The sequence below is a fragment of the Homo sapiens genome, chromosome 6 (genome assembly GCF_000001405.40).
Source record: "Homo sapiens chromosome 6, GRCh38.p14 Primary Assembly".
Lineage (NCBI taxonomy): Eukaryota > Metazoa > Chordata > Mammalia > Primates > Hominidae > Homo > Homo sapiens.
In genome coordinates, this window is record NC_000006.12 from 89,211,497 (window position 1) to 89,237,887 (window position 26,391).

At 42.4% G+C, this 26,391-nt stretch overlaps 1 protein-coding gene across 5 annotated transcripts in view; it reads right to left on the reverse strand.

The window, feature by feature from the left end:
• GABRR1 (gamma-aminobutyric acid type A receptor subunit rho1) overlaps positions 1-19,792 on the reverse strand; it is a 53,785-nt gene extending 33,993 nt beyond the window's left edge. For 2 of the 5 annotated variants that reach the window (NM_001256703.1, NM_001256704.1), the window contains exon 1: positions 5,705-6,281. In NM_001256703.1, the coding sequence (NP_001243632.1) occupies positions 5,705-5,826 (122 nt within the window). In that variant the 5' untranslated portion in view covers positions 5,827-6,281. Of the gene's footprint in view, positions 1-5,704; positions 6,282-9,778; positions 9,951-19,719 lie in introns of those variants that run through there. The other 3 variants (NM_002042.5, XM_017010689.2, NM_001267582.2) reach the window with 2 other exon arrangements.
• Between the last annotated feature and the right edge of the window lie 6,599 nt (positions 19,793-26,391).

The following is a 26,391-nucleotide window of genomic DNA, read 5'->3' on the forward strand; positions in this document are numbered from 1 at the left end:
CTCTTCTTGGAATGATCATTAATGACACAAAACTACCATATCTAGGGCTCACTTCTCAGTCCTCTACCTAGTTGATTTTGACCTTGGAGTGATCTGACCCTATTGACCACTCCCTCCTTCTTAAAACCCTTGACACCTTGCTAGAACACCTTCCTAGTCGGAAGGTCTCTGATGGCACAGCCTGCATCTCATTTTGTGACTGGTGAAGAGCTCATTGCCCAGTGTAGTGCCTGCCCTGTAATAAGCACTTGATAACTGTTGAAAAAATGGGCCTCTTAACATCCTCAACACCTCTGTGTTCCAGCTCTATACCCATTTCTCTGATCACTCATTTCCAGCTCTACATTGAGTCCCCTTCCTTTATCTTCTCCTTAAATGCTGCTCTTCCCCAAGGTCTGTCCTTGATCTGGTCCTTATTTCATGCCACATGCTGTCTCTGGCCACCTCATCCATTGCCACCTATGGGGACTCCCTTTAAATCTAATTCTCTAGGCCCAGTTTCCTTCTTGAGCTGCAGACTTATATCCCTTCCTGCTGACTGGACAGCTGTCTCTGGGTATCTTGCAAGCACATCTAGGTCCATATGTTCATACCAAACTCATCACCTTCACCCCCAAACCTAATCCTCCACCTGCTCTCCTTCCTGGCATCACCATCTACTCAGTCGTACAATCCAAAGACCTGCCGAACATTCACCCTAAACTTCTCTCTCACCCTGAAGCCAATCAGATTCTGACCATTCTAGCTCCTTGAAAGCTCTCATATTCATTCCTCCCCCATCCCCATCCTGTTCATTCCACTATGAATGAGCTTTGCACCAGCTCTTACCTGGCCTCAGACTCTGGTCATAGACTCTGGATTACTTTCTCTGTTTCCCCTCTATCCCCCTTCCTGGTGTTCCATCATGCTGCTGAGCAAGCAAGCATCGTCTCTCTGAAATGGAAATCTGCTGAGACCATTCAGCTCCTCTTCACCTTCAGAATAAACGTGAATTCTTTAGCACGACAAAGAATGCATGATAATGTACTTCCAGCTTCTGGTAGAATCAGTTTGCCCTCCCACAGCCTGAGCTGGCATGGTCCAGGGGCCCATAGTGTAGACAAGTTATGTTTCCATTCTTCCAGGGAAGAGAGGAGGAGAGGACCGGCAGTAAGTTTTGGGTTATTTATTTATTTATTTATTTATTTATTTTCTGAGACAGGGTCAGATGGGCCCAGGCTGAAGTGCAGTGGCATGATCACGGCTCACTGCAGCCTTGACATCCCAGGCTCAAGCCATTCTCCCACTTCAGCCTCTTGAGTAGCTGGGACTACAGGCACACCTCACCGTGGCCAGCTACATTTTTTTGTACTGTTTATAGAAACAGGCTCTCATTTTGTTCCCCAGGCTGGTCTTGAACTTCTGGGCTCAAGTTATCCTCATGTGTCAGCCTTCCAAAGTGCTGGGATTACAGGCATGAGCCACCATGCCCGGCCTGAGACAGTAAGTTTTGATTCTAGAAACATTGCCCAGTGCCCTGGCATTCTGATCTTGATTCTGCATGATTGGTGAAGATGGGTCCTATCTGGATGTGCCTCCCATGGAGATTCTGGGAAAACATGAATTATTTCCTGGAGTGGAGACTAGAGTGAGGCAGGTAAGGTGCATAGGGAGTAAAATGTAAAGAGCCAGTCACTCTCTGGGGCATGTAAGCACCTCCTTCAGTTTTGCACCCTAGGCACCTCACTAGATTCACCCCCTGGTGTGCCCATGTTTACCTAAGCTATTTTATTAGCATGACCATGTAAAGAAGCCTGGATACAAATTACCAGCAGCTTATGGATTTGGAGTCTGGATGAAATTAAGTAAGCCCTTTAAAAGTTTAGGCTACATAAAAATGAAGTTTAACCTGGCTGGTGGGGTATAAGTTGGGTTGACGTAACATTCTGGAAAGAAATTTGCCCGCATATATCTGGAGCTTTCAATGTTCTTGTGCCATTTGATCCAGAACACTTCCAGGAGTCTAACCTGATTAATTATGTATGTGAACAACTCTTCTTATATACAAAGATGTAAATACAGAAGATTTGTAATAACAAAGAGGAAGCAACCAAATGTCTGTAAATAGAGGAAAACACTTAAATGGTGGCACACTGTGCATTAATTTACATATTTGCATTATTATGCAGCCAATCAAATGATAATTCTATTGACTTTTCAAATAAGTGAACATGCAGACTATATGCATGGCATAATTCCAAACTACTTAGTATTCAGTATATGCTTACCAAAAAAGACAAGAAGAAAATACACAAAAATGTTAACAAGGTTACTTCTGGGCTTGGAGATTATGGGTAATTCTTGGGTGTTTTTAAAATTTTTTTCTCTTTTTTTGGTAAATTTAAATAATAGTTATATGTGTCTTTCATAACTAAAGAAACAGAAACACTTCTGATTTTTGCATGCTGAATTGAATCTGCAACTTTATTGTATTTGTTCATTAGTTCTAACAGTTTTCTTGGTGAAGTCTTTAGGGTTTTCTATATATAAGATCATGTCATCAGCAAACAGCAACAATTTCACTTCTTTCTTTCCTATTTCTATGTCTTTTCTTTCTTTCTCTTGTCTAACTGCTTTGGCAAGGACTTCTGGTACTATGGTTGAATAGAAGTGGTGAGAGTGAGTCTTGTTACTGATCTTAGAGAATGAAATAAAATTTCTTTGTAATTTTACTTTTAAAAGCTTTCATTTCTTTTGATATACAAGAATCAACTCAAAATGGATTAAAGACTTAAGTGTAAGACCTGAAACTGTAAAACTGATAGAGGAAAATATAGGAGAAAAGTTACACAATATTGGTCTAGGCAGTGAATTTTTTGCATTTGACTCCAAAAGCTTGGGCAACAAAAGCAAATAGACAAATGAGATTACATCAAACTAAAAAGCTTCTGCACAGCAGAATAAATAACTAATGCAGTGAAGAGACAACCTGCAGATTGGAAGAAAATATTTGTAAGGCATACACATCTGATAAGGGGTTCATATCTAAAATATATAAGGAACTCAAACAACTCAATAGCAAGAAAACAAGTAACCTGATTAAAAATGGGTAAAGGACTTGAACAGACATTTTTCAAAACAAGACATACAAGTGGCCAACAGATATACGAAAAAATGCTCAACATCATTAGTCATTAGGGAAATGCAAATTTGAACCACAGTGAGATATCATCTCACACCAGTCGGAATGGCTATTATCAAAAAGATGGCCAAGCATGGTGGCTCATGCCTGTAATCCTGGCACTTTCGGAGGCCAAGGTGGGAGGATCACTTGAAGCCAGGAGCTCGAGACCAGCCTGGGCAACATAGTGAGACCCTGTCTATAGAAAAAAAAATTTTTTTAATTAGCCAGGCATGGTAGTGCACCTGTAGTCCCAGCTATTCAAGAAGCTGAGGTGGGAGGATCACTTGAAACCATTACAATCCAGTTTAGGTAACAGGGCAAGACTCTGTCTCTAAAACAAACGAACAAAAAACAAAACAAAATTAAAAAGATGAACAAGTACAAGCCTTGGCAAAGATGTGGAGAAAAGAAAACCCTTGTAACACCATTGGTGGGAATGTAAATTGGCACAGCCATTATGGAAAACTAGATGGAGGTTCCTCTAAAAACTAAAAACAGAATTACCGTATGATCCAGCAATCCCATGTCCAGGTATATATCCAAAGGACTTAAAAGCAGTTTGTTGAAGAGATACCTGCACTCTCATTTTCATTGCAGCATTATTCATAACAGTCAAGTTATAGAAACAACCTAAGTGTCCATCAATGGATGAATGGATAAAGAGAATGTGGTATACAATGGAATACTATTCAACCTTAGAAAAAGAAATTCTGTCATTTGCAACAGCACGCATAAACCTGGAGGACATTATGCTTAATGAAATAAGCCAAGCATCAAAGACAAATACCATATGATCTCACTTGTATGTGAAATCTAAAACAACAGAAATCATATTAACAGACAGCAGAATGATGGTTACCAGAGGCTGGGAGATTGAGGGTATGAGGAGATGTTGGCCAAGAAGTAGTTTCAGTTAGACAGGAGGAATAGTTTTTTGAGACATATTGCACAGCATGGTGACCACAGTTAAAAATAGTGTATTATATATTGCAAAAGTGCTGAGTAAATTTCAAATGTTCTCACCACAAAAAAACAGTAAATATTTGTGGTAATGGATACACTAATTAGACTTAATCATTCCACACTGTATGTATAGATCCTTACATCATTTTGTATGTACCCCATTAATATATACAATCATAATTTGTCACTTAAAATTTAAATGTTTTAAATAAATTATTTAAAAGAAAGTCTATTTCACTCTCTTAGACTTCTTAATCACCGATATTTGCAAATAGGTTGCCACTCTAACTCTGGCTTGGGAAAAGTTTTTGATGAAGACCAACAGAGTTTGTTGTCGTTGTTGTTGCTTTTAATCCCTATAAGCACATTTGGATCAAATAATCTCTACGGCTGCACCAATCCACAAGTTCCAGTGTTTGCCCAAGCAACTTCTGACTCTGATGGTAATAGGGCACAGTGGCCTCCCTTAGCACCCCAGGGCTCACCATGACCACTGGATATTTCAGCTCCTAGTTTTGTGATGTTGTTAAGAACAGCTTGAAACAAATGCTGTGAGCTACAGCTGGCTGTTTGGGAGCCCATGTGATGAGGGCTCCCTCCAGCCCCAGAAGGAGGACACTGAGGTGCTAGACACAGCCCTCCTCCTAACCCCAAACTCCCAAAAGCTAGATATCTTTTCATATTCACTGATCTCTCAGACTCTATTTATATTTACACTCAAAAGAAAGGTGAAGTTCAATTTGAAGCTAAGGCTAAGAAAGGACCAAGAATCAACAACGCCCTACTGTCTCCATTTCCTCATCAGTACAGAGAGCACTGGATTAGGTTGTCTCCAAGTCTCCTGTATTATTGACTGATGCCGGGCAAGCAGGTGTGCATCCCAGATAGACATTGCCAGTGCTGCCGTCAGAATGGCCCAGGTGAGGCCGAGTGCTAAGGGGCTGGTGGGGAACCTGGTTTCCTGTGTAAGCTCCCTCTGCAAGTGCTGGCAGACAGGGCACCATGCACCTTTGGTGTTGACCACAGGCAAGCACTTGCCTGCAGGAGGCTCCGTCCCTGGCCCTCCCAATTTATAGGTAGGGAACCATCTAATAATGATCCTTCTAGTCACACAGCTTGGAGAAAGCTGCTTTCTTTTAAAATATTAAAAAATGATTCACAAATCTAACAGAAATAATTAGAGCAGAATCATTCTCATGAAATACAGGTCCCATTGGTAATTTGAGAATTCACAGAGTTGTTCTAACCCTAGGACACAGACAGCAAACAATTGCCCTTGATATTTTTTTTAAATGTGCATATATTCTATTTTCCAGAATCTACCTTTCACCCAGGACAATTCATAAGGAATTTTAAAAATGCACTGATAAAATGATCTAATCTAGCATCATTTTAAAAGAAAACGTAATTCTAACTTTCTAAAAGGGGAGCAGCAGGAGAACAAAGGGAAGGGGAAGAAAAAGGCATCCACACAAAACACCATACGCTGGAAATGATGCTCAGTTTCTAGAAGAACACTGTAAGCTCACTTTGTGCATCCTCTTTTCCTAAATCCTCTATCCCTAAATGTCCACTCACCTGCCTTTCTTAGACATCTCGTGGACTTCTCTTCCGGGCCAGTGCATTCTGCTTTCAGTGGCCAAAACCCATCCCCACCACAAAAGAAAGATGCCAAATCTCATATTTGGGACAGCCAACATGGGTTTCCAAATTCAAACAGCTCTCTCCAGAAACAGCAAAAAGGAAAAGATTGTTCTTTTTCTCTCTTAAGACATTATTGGTCTGTTCATTATTAGAAGGATGTTTACTCATGCAAAAAAAAAATCAACCCACAGGATGCAATCTGGAGAGCAGGAGAAAGCAATTTCCACTAAACCTATAAATCCTCCTACGTCAGATGTCAGGGATTTTCTGAACTGAGGTTGAATTCCTGTGTCCCAGTGGAACAATTATTTTAGCCGGTCTAAATTAGTTCATCGTCAAATGCAGTAAAAATGTTGGTAAAAGTCTTATTTTCTGGTGCGTCGAATAAAAGGAAGTAAAAATGGACCAAAGCAATTTCCAAGAGGAGTAAGGCCAGAGGTGCGGAACTGCTTTCTATGTTCACGTTAATGAGCTCCTCCCTGGATCTATTTTAAGCTTACGGCCATTATTATTTGCTTTAGCTGAGGGCTGGATTTGGACAGCTTCCTGCCCCCACTTCCTGTGGCTGAATCCCTGAAACCCCAGGGCTCGGTACCTGCGTGGGCTGTCTATATGGCTGAGATTGGGAGGGCAACTGGGGAAGAGGTTTTTTTGTCTTTGTTTGGCGCAGAAACAAGTAAATTTCCTTGTCAGTTGCATTGTTCTTATCATGAACCTTGCTGCACTGTCCACATTTGAAAAATACCAGTAATAAATTAACTGTAGCCTCAAGTCTGTGTTATTTGTAGACAGTTTTTCTTTTGCTTTGATGCTTACTTTAAGACTCTGCTATAATCTACAGGCCGGATCTTGTGTCTTCATCAAAAGACAGTCTCAGAGCCTCGTGGAAGAGACCGCATTAGGTACTCCAAACTATTGACTCTTCAAAGCTGAGCTGACATGGTTTTGGTAACTTTCAGACTGTACCGGTAAACTGAGTCAGGATTCCCATAACTCTATAGCTGAAAAGCGGTTTCACACAACTGCTAACCCAAGATCCAATAGAATGAGAATTAATTACACAAGACTGAAAAAAAATTGATGAGAGAAATTTTTTTCGGGTTATTTGAAATGCAGTTGTTTTAAGGTTCTGTTCCCAGATCGTAAGAAGCCTTTTCTTTCTCTTCTTGTGCTATCTGTAATTCACAATAAGCTTTTAAATTCTGCTTTTATAAACCAGAATGAAGTATTCTTAAATTATATATGATTCTCACTAACACGATTCTTCTTATTTGAATTCAGAAACTCTTACCCAGTCTCTCTACATTTCTTGGCAATATAGTTGTTTGCATAGGTTTAGTAAGAATCTGTCCTCCCTTTTGCCAAAATACAACTGGAAGCATCAATTATGCAATGAAAGCCTTGCCTTGAATGCCCTATTTGAGAATAATGTTCATTTAACGAGGTGTGACAAGCCATTTTAAGGAATAAAGGTTGGCTGTACTTACGGAACCAATGCCTATAATGTCCTCTCAGGAAACCTGACGTAGGTCCAGTTTATAGTGTCCAGTCTTACAGTTAGTAAGGAAAGTCACTTCTAGGCAAGTACTTGGAGGTATTTTTCTGAAACCTCTAGAAGAAAGGAATTCACTCAAATCTATAGGTACTGCAGGTAAAATTTGGTGGAGTTTCTTGGGCTTGGTCTCCTAATCTTAGCAGGATAGAAAATAATAGACATGGCGGGGCACGGTGGCTCACGCCTGTAATCCCAGCACTTTGGGAGGCCAAGGTGGGAGGATCACCTGAGGTCAGGAGTTAGAGACCAGCCTGGCCAACATGGTGAAACCCTGTCCCTACTAAAAATACAAAAATTACCTCGGTGTGGTGGCGGGCACCTGTAATCTCAGCTACTTGGGAGGCTGAGACAGGAGAATCGCTTGAACCTGGGAGGTGGAAGTTGTAGTGAGCCGAGATCGCACCACTGCACTCCAACCTGGGCAATAAGGAATGAAACTCCGTCCCAAAAAAAGAAAAGAAAATAACAGACACTTTTAGAAGTCCAAGCTAAGATTCCTTATGATAACTTCTAGGCAGGAGCTAATTTGGAATCATTCAACACCGTATGGCTCTAGGTTTTGCAACGCAAACTTCAAAGGAGGCATCTATGATGCACTGTAGAAGTAACCAGCCAAACCTAAGGAGCCCAGCTTTTTTCTGTGATCAAGAATAATCTTTAGAATTATATATAATAACAAGGAGAAGGAAGATGGTCAGGAAAAATCGTCAAACTTTGAAATGAGCAAAATAGATTACTGGGTGTTCTTTCAATAGAATTCTAAGCCTTGTCCAGCGGGTCCTCCAGGGATTGTCTGATCCTATAGGGATGTATGACTTTGATTGTCTTTAGGCTATTTTACAATTCTGTAATAGTAGATGTTAACACGTAGCAAACTGATAGTAACGCATAGCTTTCCTGTCCATAGCTATGCAAATTATTCCTTTTGTGCTGTGGAGAGTATAAATCTCTATAAATCAAGCCCTTATTTGAACCAGTTGTAACATCTTACTGGTCCCTTAACTAAATAATGAGTTAAATAAAATCTTCAATGTCTGTTCATTTTATAGTTATGTGAGAGTCATGATTATATCCTCTTATATAAATCATCCTTTAACGTGCTTTCAATTAATAGATGTCAAAAACATTCAACATATAGAAATAAAGGCAGAATATGTGATGTCTCCCGAGGTCAATGTAAGCTAAGCATGGTTGGATACTTAAGTTGTAGTGACTTGCTGATTTAAAGACCAAATTGTCTAAAGGGAGATATTCTGGAGCTGAGTACATCAAAATGAACAGGACAATAAGGCATTAAATTGGGGAGGTAGAAAGGACATTAAATGGCTCCTAATGCCCAGATTGGAAAATACCTTTCTTTCTTGTTTAGAGGATCCTGGACTAGCTCCAGGGGCCAGGAGCCTGGGCATAACCAAAGAGAGCAAACCGGAAGGCCTCAAACACGCATTTCCTACCCTCTCTTAGCTAAGGAGAGCTGGTTCAGCAGGTCCCCAGTTAGTTTGATGGCAGGACAGGCGGTACCAGCTGCTGAGCCTTTGCAACAAGGCCACTTCCTCCATCCAGAAGTTCCTATGGCAGAACCTTGAGGGGAGGGGCCCTGTCTTAGAGCCCTTTCTGCTTTGGGCTTGAGCCAACCATGCATCCCTCTTACTGCTGTCATGAGAACTTAGAAAGTCATGGCATTTCACTACTTTGTTGCTTGTAAATGTTCTTAATCAACTTTATTTCCCACTAACACCACGTGGCTCTAATGCGGAGAGTATCTGTGCCCTCTTTATAGGACAAGGATGTAGAAGGGAGTTGTAAAGAGGCCTGAGAGAACCAGTTAGGGCCAGCATCAGAGCATATTAAGGATCCAGACTGACTTACTGAACTATAACACTTCCAGACCAAGTTTTAAAAATGCTTTTTTTTTTGAGACGGAGTTTCGTTCTTGTTGCCCAGGCTGGAGTGCAATGGCATGATCTCAGCTCACCACAACCTCTGCCTCCCAGGTTCAAGTGATTCTCCTGCCTCAGCCTCCCGAGTAGCTGGGATTACACGCATTCGCCACTACACCCAGCTAATTTTGTATTTTTAGTAGAGACGGGGTTTCTCCATGTTGGTCAAGCTGGTCTCCAACTCCCAATTTCAGGTGATCCGCCTACCTCAGCCTCCCAAAGTGCTGGGGTTACAGGCATGAGCCACCGCGCCTGGCCAAAAACACTATTTTTTGACAAAACTCTTCTTTTCCTTTATTGAGTATGCCAGCCTTCTCTCTCTTCTCACTCTCCTTTTTATTCCTCAGCCATCATGGCCTTCCCTACAGCAATGCAGGGTCTCCAGGGCAATAATTTCTTCAGCAGAAGAGGGACCAGGCAATGCTTAACTCCAGCTTATCTTCTCATGGCCATCAAAAGTCTCCCTGCCCCAAGCCCTCAGAGCCAACCCAACACCACACACAAGGCACTCACTGACTGATGGGTGAACGGCAGGCAGCACACCCCAGCTGCTCCCAAACAGGGGCTGCAGGTGCTCATCAGCTGTTTCCACGTGCTCCCTGCAGCACATTTTCTAGCCACAGTCAGCCCTCTGCATCCGTGGGTTTTACATCTGTAGATTCAACCAAGTGCAGATCAAAAATATCTGGGGATAGAAAAACAAAGAACACAAATTCAAAAAACTAATGTAGTATAACAACTACTTGCTAGTATTTACATTGTATTAGATATTAGAAGTAATCTGAGATGATTTAAAGTATACAGGAGAATGTGTGTAGGTTATATGCAAATACTACCCCATTTTATGAAGGGACTTAAGCATCCATGGATTTTGGAATCCTTGGGGTCCTGGAACCAATCCCCTTGGTACCGAGGGATGACTGTACACGTGCACCAATTTGGCTCTGAGCTCAATGCCTAAACATAATCTCCCAGCATTGGACTGGCCCTTTCCAGGTAGGGGATAAGGGACAAATAAAAAGGCAAAGGAAAGGAATTTGATGAAACAATGACCCGAAGAGCCATTTTTCAGTTCCTGATGCAGCTGCTTCTTTACTCACTGTATCGTCAAGCCTACTATTTAAGCTGCTGCTGTAATCGAGCCATGGAAAGATCAATAAAAAGAATAGCATTTCTTTGTCATGGAACAGCTTAGAGGTGAGTGGTCCAGACTGAAGGGAATCTGCTCCAGGACGAAGTGCCTTTCGTCTTGTTGCCCTTTCTCAGGGTATGGTCTTTGTGTACCTGGTTAAAGTTGGGCTGCCAGTAGGCAGAGAAGACATGAAAAGCAAGCAATTTCTGTTTAGGCAAGTGACATAGGAGCTGCACTCATCACTTCAATTCACATTTCACTGGCAAGAAACTTGGCCTGATAGTCACTCCTAACTGTAAGGAGTCCAAGAAATGTGGTCTCTCAATGAGTCATCTTATACCTGGATAAAATTATATCATGATGAAAACAAAAAATAAATTTGGGGGAACAGTCAGCAATGTGCTGAACTCTCCAATTTTTCTTCCCATCCCAAGAGTCAAGTAGCAGTGGCTTGGATCCTAAATTCGATTCCTGTAAACCCACTTTGTGGGGCTCCTTTTCCCCTTGGCCCACTGCATATCTGGAGCCAAACACTCAGATTAGTCAGAACATCCAAATAAAACAAAGAAGGGACAAAACATCAGTCAGACCGTTAATATAAGTCCTGTCGGGAAGGCTGTGGTATTTATAGTGTGCTTCCAAAGGAACCACCCCCGTTCTGCATCTGCTCGTTTAATTCAGGTCAGATTCCTTGATCTTGAGGTTTTTTAATGCCCATCTGTAATGTGCTCTTTTTGTCATTTCCCTGTCTCTCCTTCCCTGCTAAATTACCAATGCCATAAACCAGCTGGTGTTGGTGTCACTCTGAAAGCACTTTACTTATTAATTTACGATCATGACAATAGGCTTTTTGGAGACTGCCCACCATCTAAAATGAAATTTTCATGATTGATGAGAGATCTAGATGGACAGGAAGCCTCAATTAGCTTGAGTTAAATTTTTTTACAGTCTAAGTTTTGTGGTCTGAACACACCCAGCCCAGCGTTCCACAACAGCTCCAGCCACAACTGTGGTGCCAAGGATCAATAGACCGTTAAACTATGACGTTTTGATAGCAGAGGCTTAATTTTATCCACACATATTATTTTGTCATCACAAGCATCATCATGAACTTGATGTCTGACAGTGGGTAGAAATCAATGTCCTTGTCTAGATTTTTTTTTTTAATTTCCATAGGTTTTTGGGGAACAGGTGGTATTTGGTTACATGAGTAAGTTCTTTAGTGGTAATTCGTGGGATTTCGGTGCACCCATCACCCAAACAATATATACTGAACCCATTTTGTAGTCTTTTTATCCCTCACCTCCTTCCCACCCTTTCCCCGAGTCCTCTAAGTCCACTGTGAAATTCTTATGCCTTTGCATCCTCATAGCTTAGCTCCCACTTATGAGTGAGGACATACAATGTTTGGTTTTCCATTCCTGAGTTACTTCACTTAGAGTAATATTCTCCAGATCCATCCAGGTTGCTGTGAATGCCATTAATTCATTCCTTTTTATGGCTGAGTAGTATTCCATTGTATATATATGCCACGGTTTCTTTATCCACTCGTTGATTGTTGGGCATTTGGGCTGGTTTCACATTTTTGCAGCTGGTAATTGTGCTGCTATAAACATGCGTGTACAAGTGTCTTTTTCATTTAATGACTTCTTTTCCTCTGGATAGATACTCAGTAGCGGGATTGCTGGATCAAATGGTAGTTTCTACTTTTAGTTCTCTAAGGAATCTCCACACTGTTTTCCATAGTGGTTGTACTAGTTTACATTCCCATCAGCAGTGTAGAAGTGGTTCCTTTTCACTGCATCCACACCAATATCTTTTTTTTTTTTTTTAATGGCCATTCTTGCAGGAGTAAGGTGGTATTGCATTGTGGGTTTTTTTTTTTTTTGAGACGGAGGTCTTGCTCTGTCGCCAGGCTGGAGTGCAATGGCACCATCTTGGCTCACTGCAACCTCTGCCTCCTGGGTTCAAGCGATTCTCCAGCCTCAGCCTCTCGAGTAGCTGGGACTACAGGCATATGCCACCATGCCCAGCTTATTTTTGTATTTTTAATAGAGACGGGGTTTCACCATGTTGGCCAGATGATCTCGATCTCTTGACCTCATGATCTGCCTGCCTCGGCCTCCCAAAGTGCCGGGATTACAGGCATGAGCCACCACGCCTGGCCGCCAGGGGTTTTGTTTGTTTGTTTTGTTCTGTTTTGTTTTGTTTTTTGAGATGGAGTCTTACTCTGTCGCACAGGCTGGAGTGCAGTGGCATGATCTTGGCTCACTCAACCTCCACCTCCTGAGTTCAAGCGATTCTCCTACCTCAGCCTCCCAAGTAGTAGCTGGGATTACAGGTATGCATTACCACGCCCAGCTAATTTTTGTACTTTTAGTAGAGACAGGGTTTCACCATGTTGGCCAGGCTGGTCTCAAACTCTTAACCTCAGGTGATCTGCCTGCCTTGGCCTCCCAAAGAGCTGAGATTACAGGTGTGAGCCACCATGCCCAGCCTGCATTGTGGTTTTGATTTGCATTTCCCTGATCATTTGTGATGTTGAGCATTTTTTCATGTTTGTTGGCCATTTGTATGTCTTCTTTTGAGAATCATCTATTCACGTCCTTAGCCCACTTTTTTATGGAATTTTTTTCTCCTGTAATTTGTTTGAGTTTGTTGTAGATTCTGGATATTAGTCCTTTGCCTGATGTATAGATTGTGAAGATTTTCTCCCACTCTGTGGGTTGTCTGTTTACTCTGCTGAGTGTTCCTTTTGCTGTGCAGAAGCTCTTTAGTTTAAGTCCCACCTGTTTATCTTTGTTTTTGTCACATTTGCATTTGGGTTCTTGGTCATGAAGTCTTTGCCTAAGCCAATATGTAGAAGAGTTTTTCTGATGTTTTCTTCTAGAATTTTTTTTTTTCCCCAAGACAGGGTCTTGCTCTGTCACCCAGGCTGGAGTGCAGTGGCGTGATCTTGGCTTACTGCAACCTCCGCCTCCCAGGTTCAAGCGATTCTCCTGCCTCAGCCTCCCAAGTAGCTGGGATTACAGGCACCCAACACCACACCCAGCTAATTTTTGTATTTTTAGTAGAGATGGAGTTTCACCATGTCGGCCAGGCTAGTCTTGAACTCCTGACCTCGTGATCCACCCGCCTTGGCCTCCCAAAGTGCTGGGATTATAGGCGAGAGCCACCGTGCCCAGCCATCTTCTAGAATTTTTACAGTTTCAGGTCTTAGATTTAAGTCCTTGATACATTTTGAGTTGATTTTTATATAAGGTGAGTGATGAGAATCCAGTTTCATTCTCTTGCGTGTGGCTTGCCAATTATCCCAGCACCATTTGTTGAATAGGGTGTACTTTCCCCACTTTATGTTTCTGTTTGCTTTTTTTTTTTTTTTAATTATACTTTAAGTTTTGGGGTACATGTGCACATTGTGCAGGTTAGTTACATATGTATACATGTGCCATGCTGGTGCGCTGCACCCACTAACTCGTCATCTAGCATTAGGTATATCTCCCAATGCTATCCCTCCCCCCTCCCCCCACCCCACCACAGTCCCCAGAGTGTGATATTCCCCTTCCTGTGTCCCTGTGATCTCATTGTTCAATTCCCACCTATGAGTGAGAATATGCGGTGTTTGGTTTTTTGTTCTTGCGATAGTTTACTGAGAATGATGATTTCCAATTTCATCCATGTCCCTACAAAGGGCATGAACTCATCATTTTTTATGGCTGCATAGTATTCCATGGTGTATATGTGCCACATTTTCTTAATCCAGTCTATCATTGTTGGACATTTGGGTTGGTTCCAAGTCTTTGCTATTGTGAATAATGCCGCAATAAACATACGTGTGCATGTGTCTTTATAGCAGCATGATTTATAGTCATTTGGGTATATACCCAGTAATGGGATGGCTGGGTCAAATGGTATTTCTAGTTCTAGATCCCTGAGGAATCGCCACATTGACTTCCACAATGGTTGAACTAGTTTACAGTCCCACCAACAATGTAAAAGTGTTCCTATTTCTCCACATCCTCTCCAGCACCTGTTGTTTCCTGACTTTTTAATGATTGCCATTCTAACTGGTGTGAGATGGTATCTCATAGTGGTCTTGATTTGCATTTCTCTGATGGCCAGTGATGATGAGCATTTTTTCATGTGTTTTTTGGCTGCATAAATGTCTTCTTTTGAGAAGTGTCTGTTCATGTCCTTCGCCCAACTTTTGATGGGGTTGTTTGTTTTTTTCTTGTAAATTTGTTTGAGTTCATTGTAGATTCTGGATATTAGCCTTTTGTCAGATGAGTAGGTTGCGAAAATTTTCTCCCATTTTGTAGGTTGCCTGTTCACTCTGATGGTAGTTTCTTTTGCTGTGCAGAAGCTCTTTATTTTAATTAGATCCCATTGTCAATTTTGTCTTTTGTTGCCATTGCTTTTGGTGTTTTGGACATGAAGTCCTTGCCCATGCCTATGTCCTGAATGGTAATGCCTAGGTTTTCTTCTAGGGTTTTTATGGTTTTAGGTCTAACGTTTAAATCTTTAATCCATCTTGAATTGATTTTTGTATAAGGTGTAAGGAAGGGATCCAGTTTCAGCTTTCTACATATGGCTAGCCAGTTTTCCCAGCACCATTTTTTAAACAGGGAATCCTTTCCCCATTGCTTGTTTTCCTCAGGTTTGTCAAAGATCAGATAGTTGTAGGTATGCGGCGTTATTTCTGAGGGCTCTGTTCTGTTCCATGGATCTATATCTCTGTTTTGGTACCAGTACCATGCTGTTTTGGTTACTGTAGCCTTGTAGTATAGTTTGAAGTCAGGTAGTGTGATGCCTCCAGCTTTGTTCTTTTGGCTTAGGATTGACTTGGCAATGCGGGCTCTTTTTTGGTTCCATATGAACTTTAAAGTAGTTTTTTCCAATTCTGTGAAGAAAGTCATTGGTAGCTTGATGGGGATGGCATTGAATCTGTAAATTACCTTGGGCAGTATGGCCATTTTCACGATATTGATTCTTCCTACCCATGAGCATGGAATGTTCTTCCATTTGTTTGTATCCTCTTTTATTTCCTTGAGCAGTGGTTTGTAGTTCTCCTTGAAGAGGTCCTTCACATCCCTTGTAAGTTGGATTCCTAGGTATTTTATTCTCTTTGAAGCAACTGTGAATGGGAGTTCACTCATGATTTGGCTTTCTGTTTGTCTGTTGTTGGTGTATAAGAATGCTTGTGATTTTTGTACATTGATTTTGTATCCTGAGACTTTGCTGAAGTTGCTTATCAGCTTAAGGAGGTTTTGGGCTGAGACAATGGGGTTTTCTAGATATACAATCATGTCGTCTGCAAACAGGGACAATTTGACTTCCTCTTTTCCTAATTGAATACCCTTTATTTCCTTCTCCTGCCTAATTGCCCTGGCCAGAACTTCCAACACTATGTTGAATAGGAGTGGTGAGAGAGGGCATCCCTGTCTTGTGCCAGTTTTCAAAGGGAATGCTTCCAGTTTTTGCCCATTCAGTATGGTATTGGCTGTGGGTGTCATAGATAGCTCTTATTATTTTGAAATACGTCCCATCAATACCTAATTTATTGAGAGTTTTTAGCATGAAGGGTTGTTGAATTTTGTCAAAGGCTTTTTCTGCATCTATTGAGATAATCATGTGGTTTTTGTCTTTGGCTCTGTTTATATGCTGGATTACATTTATTGATTTGCGTATATTGAACCAGCCTTGCATCCCAGGGATGAAGCCCACTTGATCATGGTGGATAAGCTTTTTGATGTGCTGCTGGATTCGGTTTGCCAGTATTTTATTGAGGATTTTTGCATCAATGTTCATCAAGGATATTGGTCTAAAATTCTCTTTTTTGGTTGTGTCTCTGCCCGGCTTTGGTATCAGAATGATGCTGGCCTCATAAAATGAGTTAGGGAGGATTCCCTCTTTTTCTATTGATTGGAATAGTTTCAGAAGGAATGGTACCAGTTCCTCCTTGTACCTCTGGTAGAATTCAGCTGTGAATCCATCTGGTCCTGGACTCTTTTTGGTTGGTAAACTATTGATTATTGCCACAATTTCAGCTCTTGTTATTGGTCTATTCAGAGATTCAACTTCTTCCTGGTTTAGTCTTGGGAGAGTGTATGTGTTGAGGAATTTATCCATTTCTTCTAGATTTTCTAGTTTATTTGTGTAGAGGTGTTTGTAGTATTCTCTGATGGTAGTTTGTATTTCTGTGGGATCGGTGGTGATATCCCCTTTATCATTTTTTATTGTGTCTATTTGATTCTTCTCTCTTTTTTTCTTTATTAGTCTTGCTAGCGGTCTATCAATTTTGTTGATCCTTTCAAAAAACCAGCTCCTGGATTCATTGATTTTTTGAAGGGTTTTTTGTGTCTCTATTTCCTTCAGTTCTGCTCTGATTTTAGTTATTTCTTGCCTTCTGCTAGCTTTTGAATGTGTTTGCTCTTGCTTTTCTAGTTCTTTTAATTGTGATGTTAGGGTGTCAATTTTGGATCTTTCCTGCTTTCTCTTGTGGGCATTTAGTGCTATAAATTTCCCTCTACACACTGCTTTGAATGCGTCCCAGAGATTCTGGTATGTTGTGTCTTTGTTCTCGTTGGTTTCAAAGAACATCTTTATTTCTGCCTTCATTTCATTATGTACCCAGTAGTCATTCAGGAGCAGGTTGTTCAGTTTCCATGTAGTTGAGCGGCTTTGAGTGAGATTCTTAATCCTGAGTTCTAGTTTGATTGCACTGTGGTCTGAGAGATAGTTTGTTATAATCTCTGTTCTTTTACATTTGCTGAGGAGAGCTTTACTTCCAAGTATGTGGTCAATTTTGGAATAGGTGTGGTGTGGTGCTGAAAAAAATGTATATTCTGTTGATTTGGGGTGGAGAGTTCTGTAGATGTCTATTAGGTCCGCTTAGTGCAGAGCTGAGTTCAATTCCTGGGTATCCTTGTTGACTTTCTGTCTCAATCTGTCTAATGTTGACAGTGGGGTGTTAAAGTCTCCCATTATTAATGTGTGGGAGTCTAAGTCTCTTTGTAGGTCACTCAGGACTTGCTTTATGAATCTGGGTGCTCCTGTATTGGGTGCATATATATTTAGGATAGTTAGCTCTTCTTGTTGAATTGATCCCTTTACCATTATGTAATGGCCTTCTTTGTCTCTTTTGATCTTTGTTGGTTTAAAATCTGTTTTATCAGAGACTAGGATTGCAACCCCTGCCTTTTTTTGTTTTCCATTTGCTTGGTAGATCTTCCTCCATCCTTTTGTTTTGAGCCTATGTGTGTCTCTGCACATGAGATGGGTTTCCTGAATACAGCACACTGATGGGTCTTGACTCTTTATCCAATTTGCCAGTCTGTGTCTTTTAATTGGAGCATTTAGGCCATTTACATTTAAAGTTAATATTGTTATGTGTGAATTTGATCCTGTCATTATGATGTTAGCTGGTGATTTTGCTCGTTAGTTGACACAGTTTCTTCCTAGTCTCGATGGTCTTTACATTTTGGCATGATTTTGCAGCAGCTGGTACCGGTTGTTCCTTTCCATGTTTAGCGCTTCCTTCAGGAGCTCTTTTAGGGCAGGCCTGGTGGTGACAAAATCTCTCAGCATTTGCTTGTCTGTAAAGTATTTTATTTCTCCTTCACTTATGAAGCTTAGTTTGGCTGGATATGAAATTCTGCATTGAAAATTCTTTTCTTTAAGAATGTTGAATATTGGCCCCCACTCTCTTCTGGCTTGTAGGGTTTCTGCGGAGAGATCCGCTGTTAGTCTGATGGGCTTCCCTTTGAGGGTAACCCGACCTTTCTCTCTGGCTGCCCTTAACATTTTTTCCTTCATTTCAACTTTGGTGAATCTGACAATTATGTGTCTTGGAGTTGCTCTTCTCGAGGAGTATCTTTGTGGCATTCTCTGTATTTCCTGAATCTGAACGTTGGCCTGCCTTGCTAGATTGGGGAAGTTCTCCTGGATAATATCCTGCAGAGTGTTTTCCAACTTGGTTCCATTCTCCCCATCACTGTCAGGTACACCAATCAGACGTAGATTTGGTCTTTTCACATAGTCCCATATTTCTTGGAGGCTTTGCTCATTTCTTTTTATTCTTTTTTCTCTAAACTTCCCTTCTCGCTTCATTTCATTCATTTCATCTTCCATTGCTGATACCCTTTCTTCCAGTTGATCGCATCGGCTCCTGAGGCTTCTGCATTCCTCACGTAGTTCTCGAGCCTTGGTTTTCAGCTCCATCAGCTCCTTTAAGCACTTCTCTGTATTGGTTATTCTAGTTATACATTCTTCTAAATTTTTTTCAAAGTTTTCAACTTCTTTGCCTTTGGTTTGAATGTCCTCCCGTAGCTCAGAGTAATTTGATCATCTGAAGCCTTCTTCTCTCAGCTCGTCAAAGTCATTCTCCATCCAGCTTTGTTCTGTTGCTGGTGAGGAACTGCGTTCCTTTGGAGGAGGAGAGGCGCTCTGCGTTTTAGAGTTTCCAGTTTTTCTGTTCTGTTTTTTCCCCATCTTTGTGGTTTTATCTACTTTTGGTCTTTGATGATGGTGATGTACAGATGGGTTTTCGGTGTGGATGTCCTTTCTGTTTGTTAGTTTTCCTTCTAACAGACAGGACCCTCAGCTGCAGGTCTGTTGGAATACCCTGCCTTGTGAGGTGTCAGTGTGCCCCTGCCTGGGGGTGCCTCCCAGTTAGGCTGCTCGGGGGTCAGGGGTCAGGGACCCGCTTGAGGAGGCAGTCTGCCGGTTCTCAGATCTCCAGCTGCGTGCTGGGAGAACCACTGCTCTCTTCAAAGCTGTCAGACAGGGACATTTAAGTCTGCAGAGGTTACTGCTGTCTTTTTGTTTGTCTGTGCCCTGCCCCCAGAGGTGGAGCCTACAGTGGCAGGCAGGCCTCCTTGAGCTGTGGTGGGCTCCACCCAGTTCGAGCTTCCCAGCTGCTTTGTTTACCTAAGCAAGCCTGGGCAATGGCGGGCACCCCTCCCCCAGCCTCGCTGCCGCCTTGCAGTTTGATCTCAGAGTGCTGTGCTAGCAATCAGCGAGATTCCATGGGCGTAGGACCCTCCGAGCCAGGTGTGGGATATAGTCTCGTGGTGCGCCGTTTTTTAAGCCGGTCTGAAAAGCGCAATATTCGGGTGGGAGTGACCCGATTTTCCAGGTGCGTCCATCACCCCTTTCTTTGACTCGGAAAGGGAACTCCCTGACCCCTTGCGCTTCCCAGGTGAGGCAATGCCTCGCCCTGCTTCGGCTCGCGCACGGTGCGCGCACCCACTGGCCTGCGCCCACTGTCTGGCACTCCCTAGAGAGATGAACCCGGTACCTCAGATGGAAATGCAGAAATCACCCGTCTTCTGCGTCGCTCACGCTGGGAGCTGTAGACGGGAGCTGTTCCTATTCGGCCATCTTGGCTCCTCCCTACAAGGGAATCTTTCCTTTTGTTTGCTTTTGCAAAAATCAGTTGGCTGTAAGTATTTGGGTTTATTTCTGGGTTCTCTATTCTGTTTCATTGGTCTATGTGCCTATTTTTATACCAGTACCATGCTGTTTTGGTGACTATGGCCTTATAATATAGTTTGAAGTCAGGTAATGTGATGCCTCCAGATGTTCTTTTTGCTTGGTCTTGCTTTGCACATGTGGGCTCTTATTTGGTTCCATATGAATTTTAGGATTGGTTTTTCTAGTTCTGTGAAGAATGATGGTGATATTTTGATGGGATTTGCATTGAATTTGTAGATTGCTTTTAGCAGTATGGTCATTTTCACAATATAGATTCTACCCATCAATGAGCATGGGTTGTATTTCCGTTTGTTTGTATTGTCTATGATTTCTTTCAGTGGTGTTTTGTAGTTTTCCTTGTAGAGGTCTTTCACCTCCTTGGTTAGGTATATTCCTAAGTATTTTATTTTATTTTATTTCATTGCAGCTATTGTAAAAGGGGTTGAGTTCTTGATTTGATTCTCAGCTTGGTCGCTGCTGGTGTATAGCAGAGCTACTGATTTGTGCACATTAATTTTGTATCCTGAAACTTTGCTGAATTCATTTATCAGTTTTAGAAGCCTTTGGGGGAGTCTTTAGGGTTTTCTAGGTATACAATCATATCATCAGCAAACAGTGACAGTTTGACTTCCTCTTTACCATTTGGATACCCTTTATTTCTTTCTCTTGTCTGATCACTCTGGCTAGGACTTCCAGTACTATGATGAATAGAAGTGGTGAGAGTGGGTATCCTTGTCTTGTTCCAGTTCTCAGAGGAATGCTTTCAACTTTTCCCCCATTCAATATTATGTTAGCTATGGGTTTGTCATAGATGGCTTTTATTACATTGAGGTATGTCCCTTGCATGCTGATTTTGCTGAGGGTTTTAATCATGAAGGGATGCTAGATTTTGTCAAGTGCTTTTTCTGCATCTATTGAGATGATCATGTGATTTTGTTTTTAATTCTGTTTATGTGATGTATCACATTTATTGAGTTGCATATGTTAAACCATCCCTGGTATGATACCCACTTGTTTATGGTGGATTATCTTTTTGATATGCTGTTAGATTTGGTTAGCTAGTATTTTGTTAAGGATTTTTGCATTTATGTTCATCACGGATATTGGTGTGTAGTTTTCTTTTTTGTTATGTCCTTTCCTGGTTTTGATATTAGGGTGATACTAGCTTCATAGAATGATTTAGGGATTATTCCCTCTTTCTCTATCTTGTGGAATAGTGCCAATAGGATTGGTACCAATTCTTCTTTGAATGTCTGGTAGAATTCAGCTGTGAATCCGTCTGGACCTGGACTTTTTTTGGTTGGTATTTTTTTTTATTACCATTTCAATCCCCCTTCTTGTTATTGGTCTGTTCAGGGTTTCTAATTCTTCCTGATTTAAGCTAGGAGGCTTGTATCTTTCCAGGAATTTATACATCTCCTCTAGGTTTTCTAGTTTATGAGTGTAAAGGTGTTCATAGTAGCCTTGAATGATGTTTTGTATTTCTGTGGTATCAGTTGTAATATCTCCCATTTCATTTCTAATTGAGCTTATTTGGATCTTCTCTCTTCTTTTCTTGGTTAATCTTGCTAATGGTCTATCAATTTTATTTATCTTTTCAAAGAATCAGCTTTTTGTTTCATTTATCTTTTGTATTTTTGTTTGTTTCCATTTCATTCAGTTCTGCTCTGATCTTGGTTATTTCTTTTCTTCTGCTGGGTTTGGGTTTGGTTTGTTCTTGTTTCTCTAGTTCCTTGAGGTGTGATTAAATTGTCTATTTGTGCTCCTTCAGACTCTTTGATGTAGGCATTTAAGGCTGTGAAGTTTCCTCTTACCACCGCCTTTGCTATATCCCAGAGGTTTTAATAGGTTGTGTCACTATTATCATTCAGTTCAAAGAATTTTTAAATTTCCATTTTGATTTCCTTGTTGACCCAATGATCATTCAGAAGCAGGTTATTTAATTTCCATGTATTTGCATGGTTTTGAAGGTTCCTTTTGGAGTTGATTTCCAATATTATTCCACTGTGGTCTGAGACAGTACTTGATATAATTTCAATTTTCTTAAATTTGTTGAAAGTTGCTTTGTGGTCTATCATATAGTCTATCTTGGAAAATGTTTTATGTGCTGATGAATAGAATGTATATTATGCAGTTGTTGGGTAGAATGTTCTGTAAATATCCGTTAAGCCCATTTTGTTCTAGGATATAGTTTAAATCTATTGTTTCTTTGTTGGCTTTCTGTCTAATGACCTGTTGAGTGCTGTTGTATCCAGAATTGGTGGGTTCTTAGTCTCACTGACTTCAAGAATGAAGCTGCGGCCCCTCGCAGTGAGTGTTACAGTTCTTAAAGGCGGCGTGTCCAGAGTTTGTTCCTTCTGATGTTCAGATGTGTTCGGAGTTTCCTCCTTCTGGTGGGGTTCGTGGTCTCACTGGCTCAGGAGTGAAGCTGTGGACTTCCGCGGTGAGTGTTACAGCTCTTAAGGCGGCGCATCTGGAGTTGTTCCTCCCAGTGGGTTCGTGGTCTCACTGGCTTCAGGAGTGAAGCTGCAGACCTTCGCGGTGAGTGTTACAGCTCATAAAGGCAGTGTGGACCCAAAGAGTGAGCAGTAGCAAGATTTATTGCAAAGAGCGAAAGAACGAAGCTTCCACAGTGTGGAAGGGGACCCGAGCGGGTTGCCACTGCTGGCTCCAGCAGCCTGCTTTTATTCTCTTATCTGGCCCCACCCACATCCTGCTGATTTGTCCATTTTACAGAGAGCCAAGTGATCTGTTTTGACAGGGCACTGATTGGTGCATTTACAATCCCTGAGCTAGACACAAAGGTTCTCCACGTCCCCACTAGATTAGCTAGATACACAGTGTGGACACAAAGGTTCTCTAAGTCCCCACCAGAGTAGCTAGATACAGAGTGTCGATTGGTGCATTCACAATCCCTAAGCTAGACACAGGGTGCTGATTGGTGTGTTTACAAACCTTGAGCTAGACACAGAGTGCCAATTGGTGTATTTACAATCCCTGAGCTAGACATAAAGGTTCTCCACCTCCCCACCAGACTCAGGAGCCCAGCTGGCTTCACCCAGTGGATCCTGCACCAGGGCTGCAGGTGGAGCTGCCTGCCAGTCCTGCACCGTGTGCCCATACTCCTCAGCCCTTGGGTGGTTGATGGGACTGGGCGCCGTGGAGCAGGGGGCGGTGCTCGTTGGGGAGGCTCGGGCCACACAGGAGCCCACGGAGGGCTGGAGAGGCTCAGGCATGGCGGGCTGCAGGTCCCAAGCCCTGCCCTGTGGGAAGGCAGCTAAGGCCCAGCGAGAAATTGAGCACAGCAGCTGCTGGCCCAGGTGCTAAGCCCCTCACTGCCTGGGGCTGGTGGGGCCAGCCGGCCGCTCCGAGTGCGGGGTCCGACAAGCCCACGCCCACCCAGAACTCACGCTGGCCAGCAAGCACCATGCGCAGCCCCAGTTCCTGCCCGTGTCTCTCCCTCCACACCTCCCCGCAAGCTGAGGGAGCCTGCTCCGGCCTTGGCCAGCCCAGAAAGGGGCTCCCACAGTGCAGCGGCAGGCTGAAGGGCTCCTCAAGTGCTGCCAAAGTGGAAGCCCAGGCAGAGGAGGCGCCGAGAGCCAGCGAGGGCTGTGAGGACTGCCAGCACGCTGTCATCTCTCACTGTCAGTGGAGTATCGCAGTCCCCCACTATTATTATGTTGCTGTCTATCTCATTTCTTAGGTCTAGTAGTCATTGTTCTATAAATTTGGGAGCTCCAGTGTTAGGTGCATATATATTTAGAATTGTGATATTTTCTTGTTGGACAAGGCTGTTTATCATTATGTAATGTCCCTCTTTGTCTTTTTTAACTGCTGTTGCTTTAAAGTTTGTTTTGTCTGATACAAGAATAGCTACTGCTGCTTGCTTTTGGTGTCAATTTGCATGAAGTGTCTTTTTACACCCCTTTACCTTAAGTTTATGTGAGTCCTTATGTGTTAAGTGAGGCTCTTTTTTTTTTTTTTTGAGACGGAGTCTCACTCTGTCACCCAGGCTGGAGTGGAGTGCAGTAGCACGATCTCAGCTCACTGCAACCTCTGCCTCCCGGGTTCAAGCGATTCTCCTGCCTCAGCCTTCTGAGTAGCTGGGATTTAGAGGTGCCTGCCACCATGCCAGCTAATTTTTGTATTTTTAGTAGAGACGGGGTTTCACCATGTTGGTCAGGCTGGTCTCAAACTCCTGGCCTTGTGATCCACCTGCCTTGGCCTCCCAAAGTGCTGGGATTACAGGTGTGAGCAAGTGAGGCTCTTGAAGGCAGCAAATACTTGGTTGATGAATTTTTATCCATTCTACAATTCTGTATCTTTTAAATGGAGCCTTTAGACCATTTATATTCAGTTAGTATTGAGATGTGAGGTATTATTTTATTCATTGTGCTATTTGTTAGCTGAATACCTTGGTTTATTTATTTACGTATTTACTGTATTGCTTTATAGGTCCTGTGAGATTCATGCTTTAAAGAGGTTCTGTTTTGTTGTGTTTCCAGGATTTGTTTCAATATTTAGAGCTCCTTTTAGCAGTTCTTTTAGTGCTGGCTTGGTAGTGGTGAATTCTCTCAGCATTTGTCTGTCTGAAAAAGACTGTCTCTTTCCTTCATTTATGAAGCTTAGTTTCACTGGATACAAAATTCTTGTCTGATAATTGTTTCGTTTAAGGAGGCTGAAGATAGGGCCCCAATTCATTCTAGCTTGTAGAGTTTCTGCTGAGAAATCTGCTGTTAATCTGATAGGTTTTCCTTTATAGGTTACCTGGTGCTGCTTTTGCCTCACAGCTCTTAAGATTCTTTCTCTCATCTTGACTTTAGACAACCTGATAACTATGTGCCTCTGCGATGATCTTTCTGTGATGAATTTCCTAGGTGTTCTTTGAGCTTCTTGTATTTGGATGTCTAGATCTCTAGCAAGGCCAGGGAAGTTCTCAATTATTTCCCCAAATGTGTTCTCAAAACTTTTAGATTTCTCCTTTTCCTCAGCAATGTCAATTATTCTCAGATTTGGTCATTTAACATAATCCCAAACTTCTTGGAGGCCTTTGTTCATTTTTTAAAATTCTTTTTTCTTTGTCTTCATTGGATTGGGTTATTTCAAAAACCTTGTCTTTGAGCTCTGAAGTTCTTTCTTCTGCCTGTTCAATTCTATTGCTGAGGCTCTCCAGGGCATTTTGCATTTCTCTAAGTGTGTCCTATATTTCCTGAAGTTGTGATTTTTTTTTTATTTATGCTATCCACTTCACTGAAGATTTTTCCCTTCATATCTTGTATCATCTTTTTGATTTTCTTAAGCTGGATTTCACCTTTTCTGGTGCCTCCTAATAATCAACTTCTGAATTCTCTTTCTGGCAATTCAGGGATTTCTTCTTGGTTTGGATCCATTGCTGGTGGGCTAATGTGATTTTTTTTTTAGGGGGGTGTTAAAGAACCTTGTTTTGTCATATTACCAGAATTGCTTTTCTGGTTCTTTCTCATTTTGGTAGTCTCTGTCAGTGGGAAGATTTGAGGCTCAAGGCTGCTGTTCAGATTTTTTTGTCCCACGGGGTGCTCCTTTGATGTAGCACTCTCCCCCTTTTCCTAGGGATGTGGCTTCCTGAGAGCAGAACTGTAGTGATTGTTATTCTCTTCTGAATCTAGCCATCTAGCAGGGCTACCAGGCTCTGGGCTGGTACTGGGGTGTGTCTGCACAGAGTCCTGTGATGTGAACTGTCTTCAGGTCTCTCAGCCATGGATACCAGGACCTGCTCCATTGGAGGTGGCAGGGGAGTGAAATGGACTCTGTGAGGGTCCTTAGTTGTAGTTGTTTAATGCACTTGTTGTAGTTTTATGCTGGTTGGCCTCCTGCCAGGAGGTGGAACTTTCAAGAGAGCATTAGCTATGGCAGTATAGGAGAGGACCAGGTTAGGGGTGAGGCCCTGGAACTCCCAAGAGAATATAACCTTTGTCTTTGGCTTCCAGGGTGGGGAGGGAAGGCCCATCAGGAAGGGGTAGGGTTAGGCATGTCTGAGCTCAGACTCTTCCTAGGCAGGGCTTGCTGTGGCTGCTGTGGGAGATGGGAATGTGGTTCCCAGGTCAATGGAGTTATGTTCTCAGGAGGATTATGGCTGCCTCTGCTGTGTCATGCAGGTTGTCAGGGAAGCAGGGGAAAGCCAGCAGTTACAGGCCTCACCCAGCTCCTATGCAACCCAAAAGGCTGGTCTCACTCCCGCCATGCCCCCACTCCAACAGCACCAAGTTTGTTTCTAGGAAATGGTTGAACAGGGCTGAGAACTTGCCCGAGGGTACCAGCCTCCTGGCTGAGAAAGCAAACAGGGCTTTCATGCCTCCCCACCTGTGGGATCTGCACACCGGATTCATGCCCTCCCCCAAGTTCTGGCCAAGAAACTTCATGTTTGGTTGGAATTGTTACAAAGTTCAGCAGGAGTTTTCCTTCTCCCTATGATATTTTCCCAGTTCCTCTGGCAGCCCTCCCCAAGGACCCCTGTGAGACAAGGCAGAAACGGCTTCCCTGG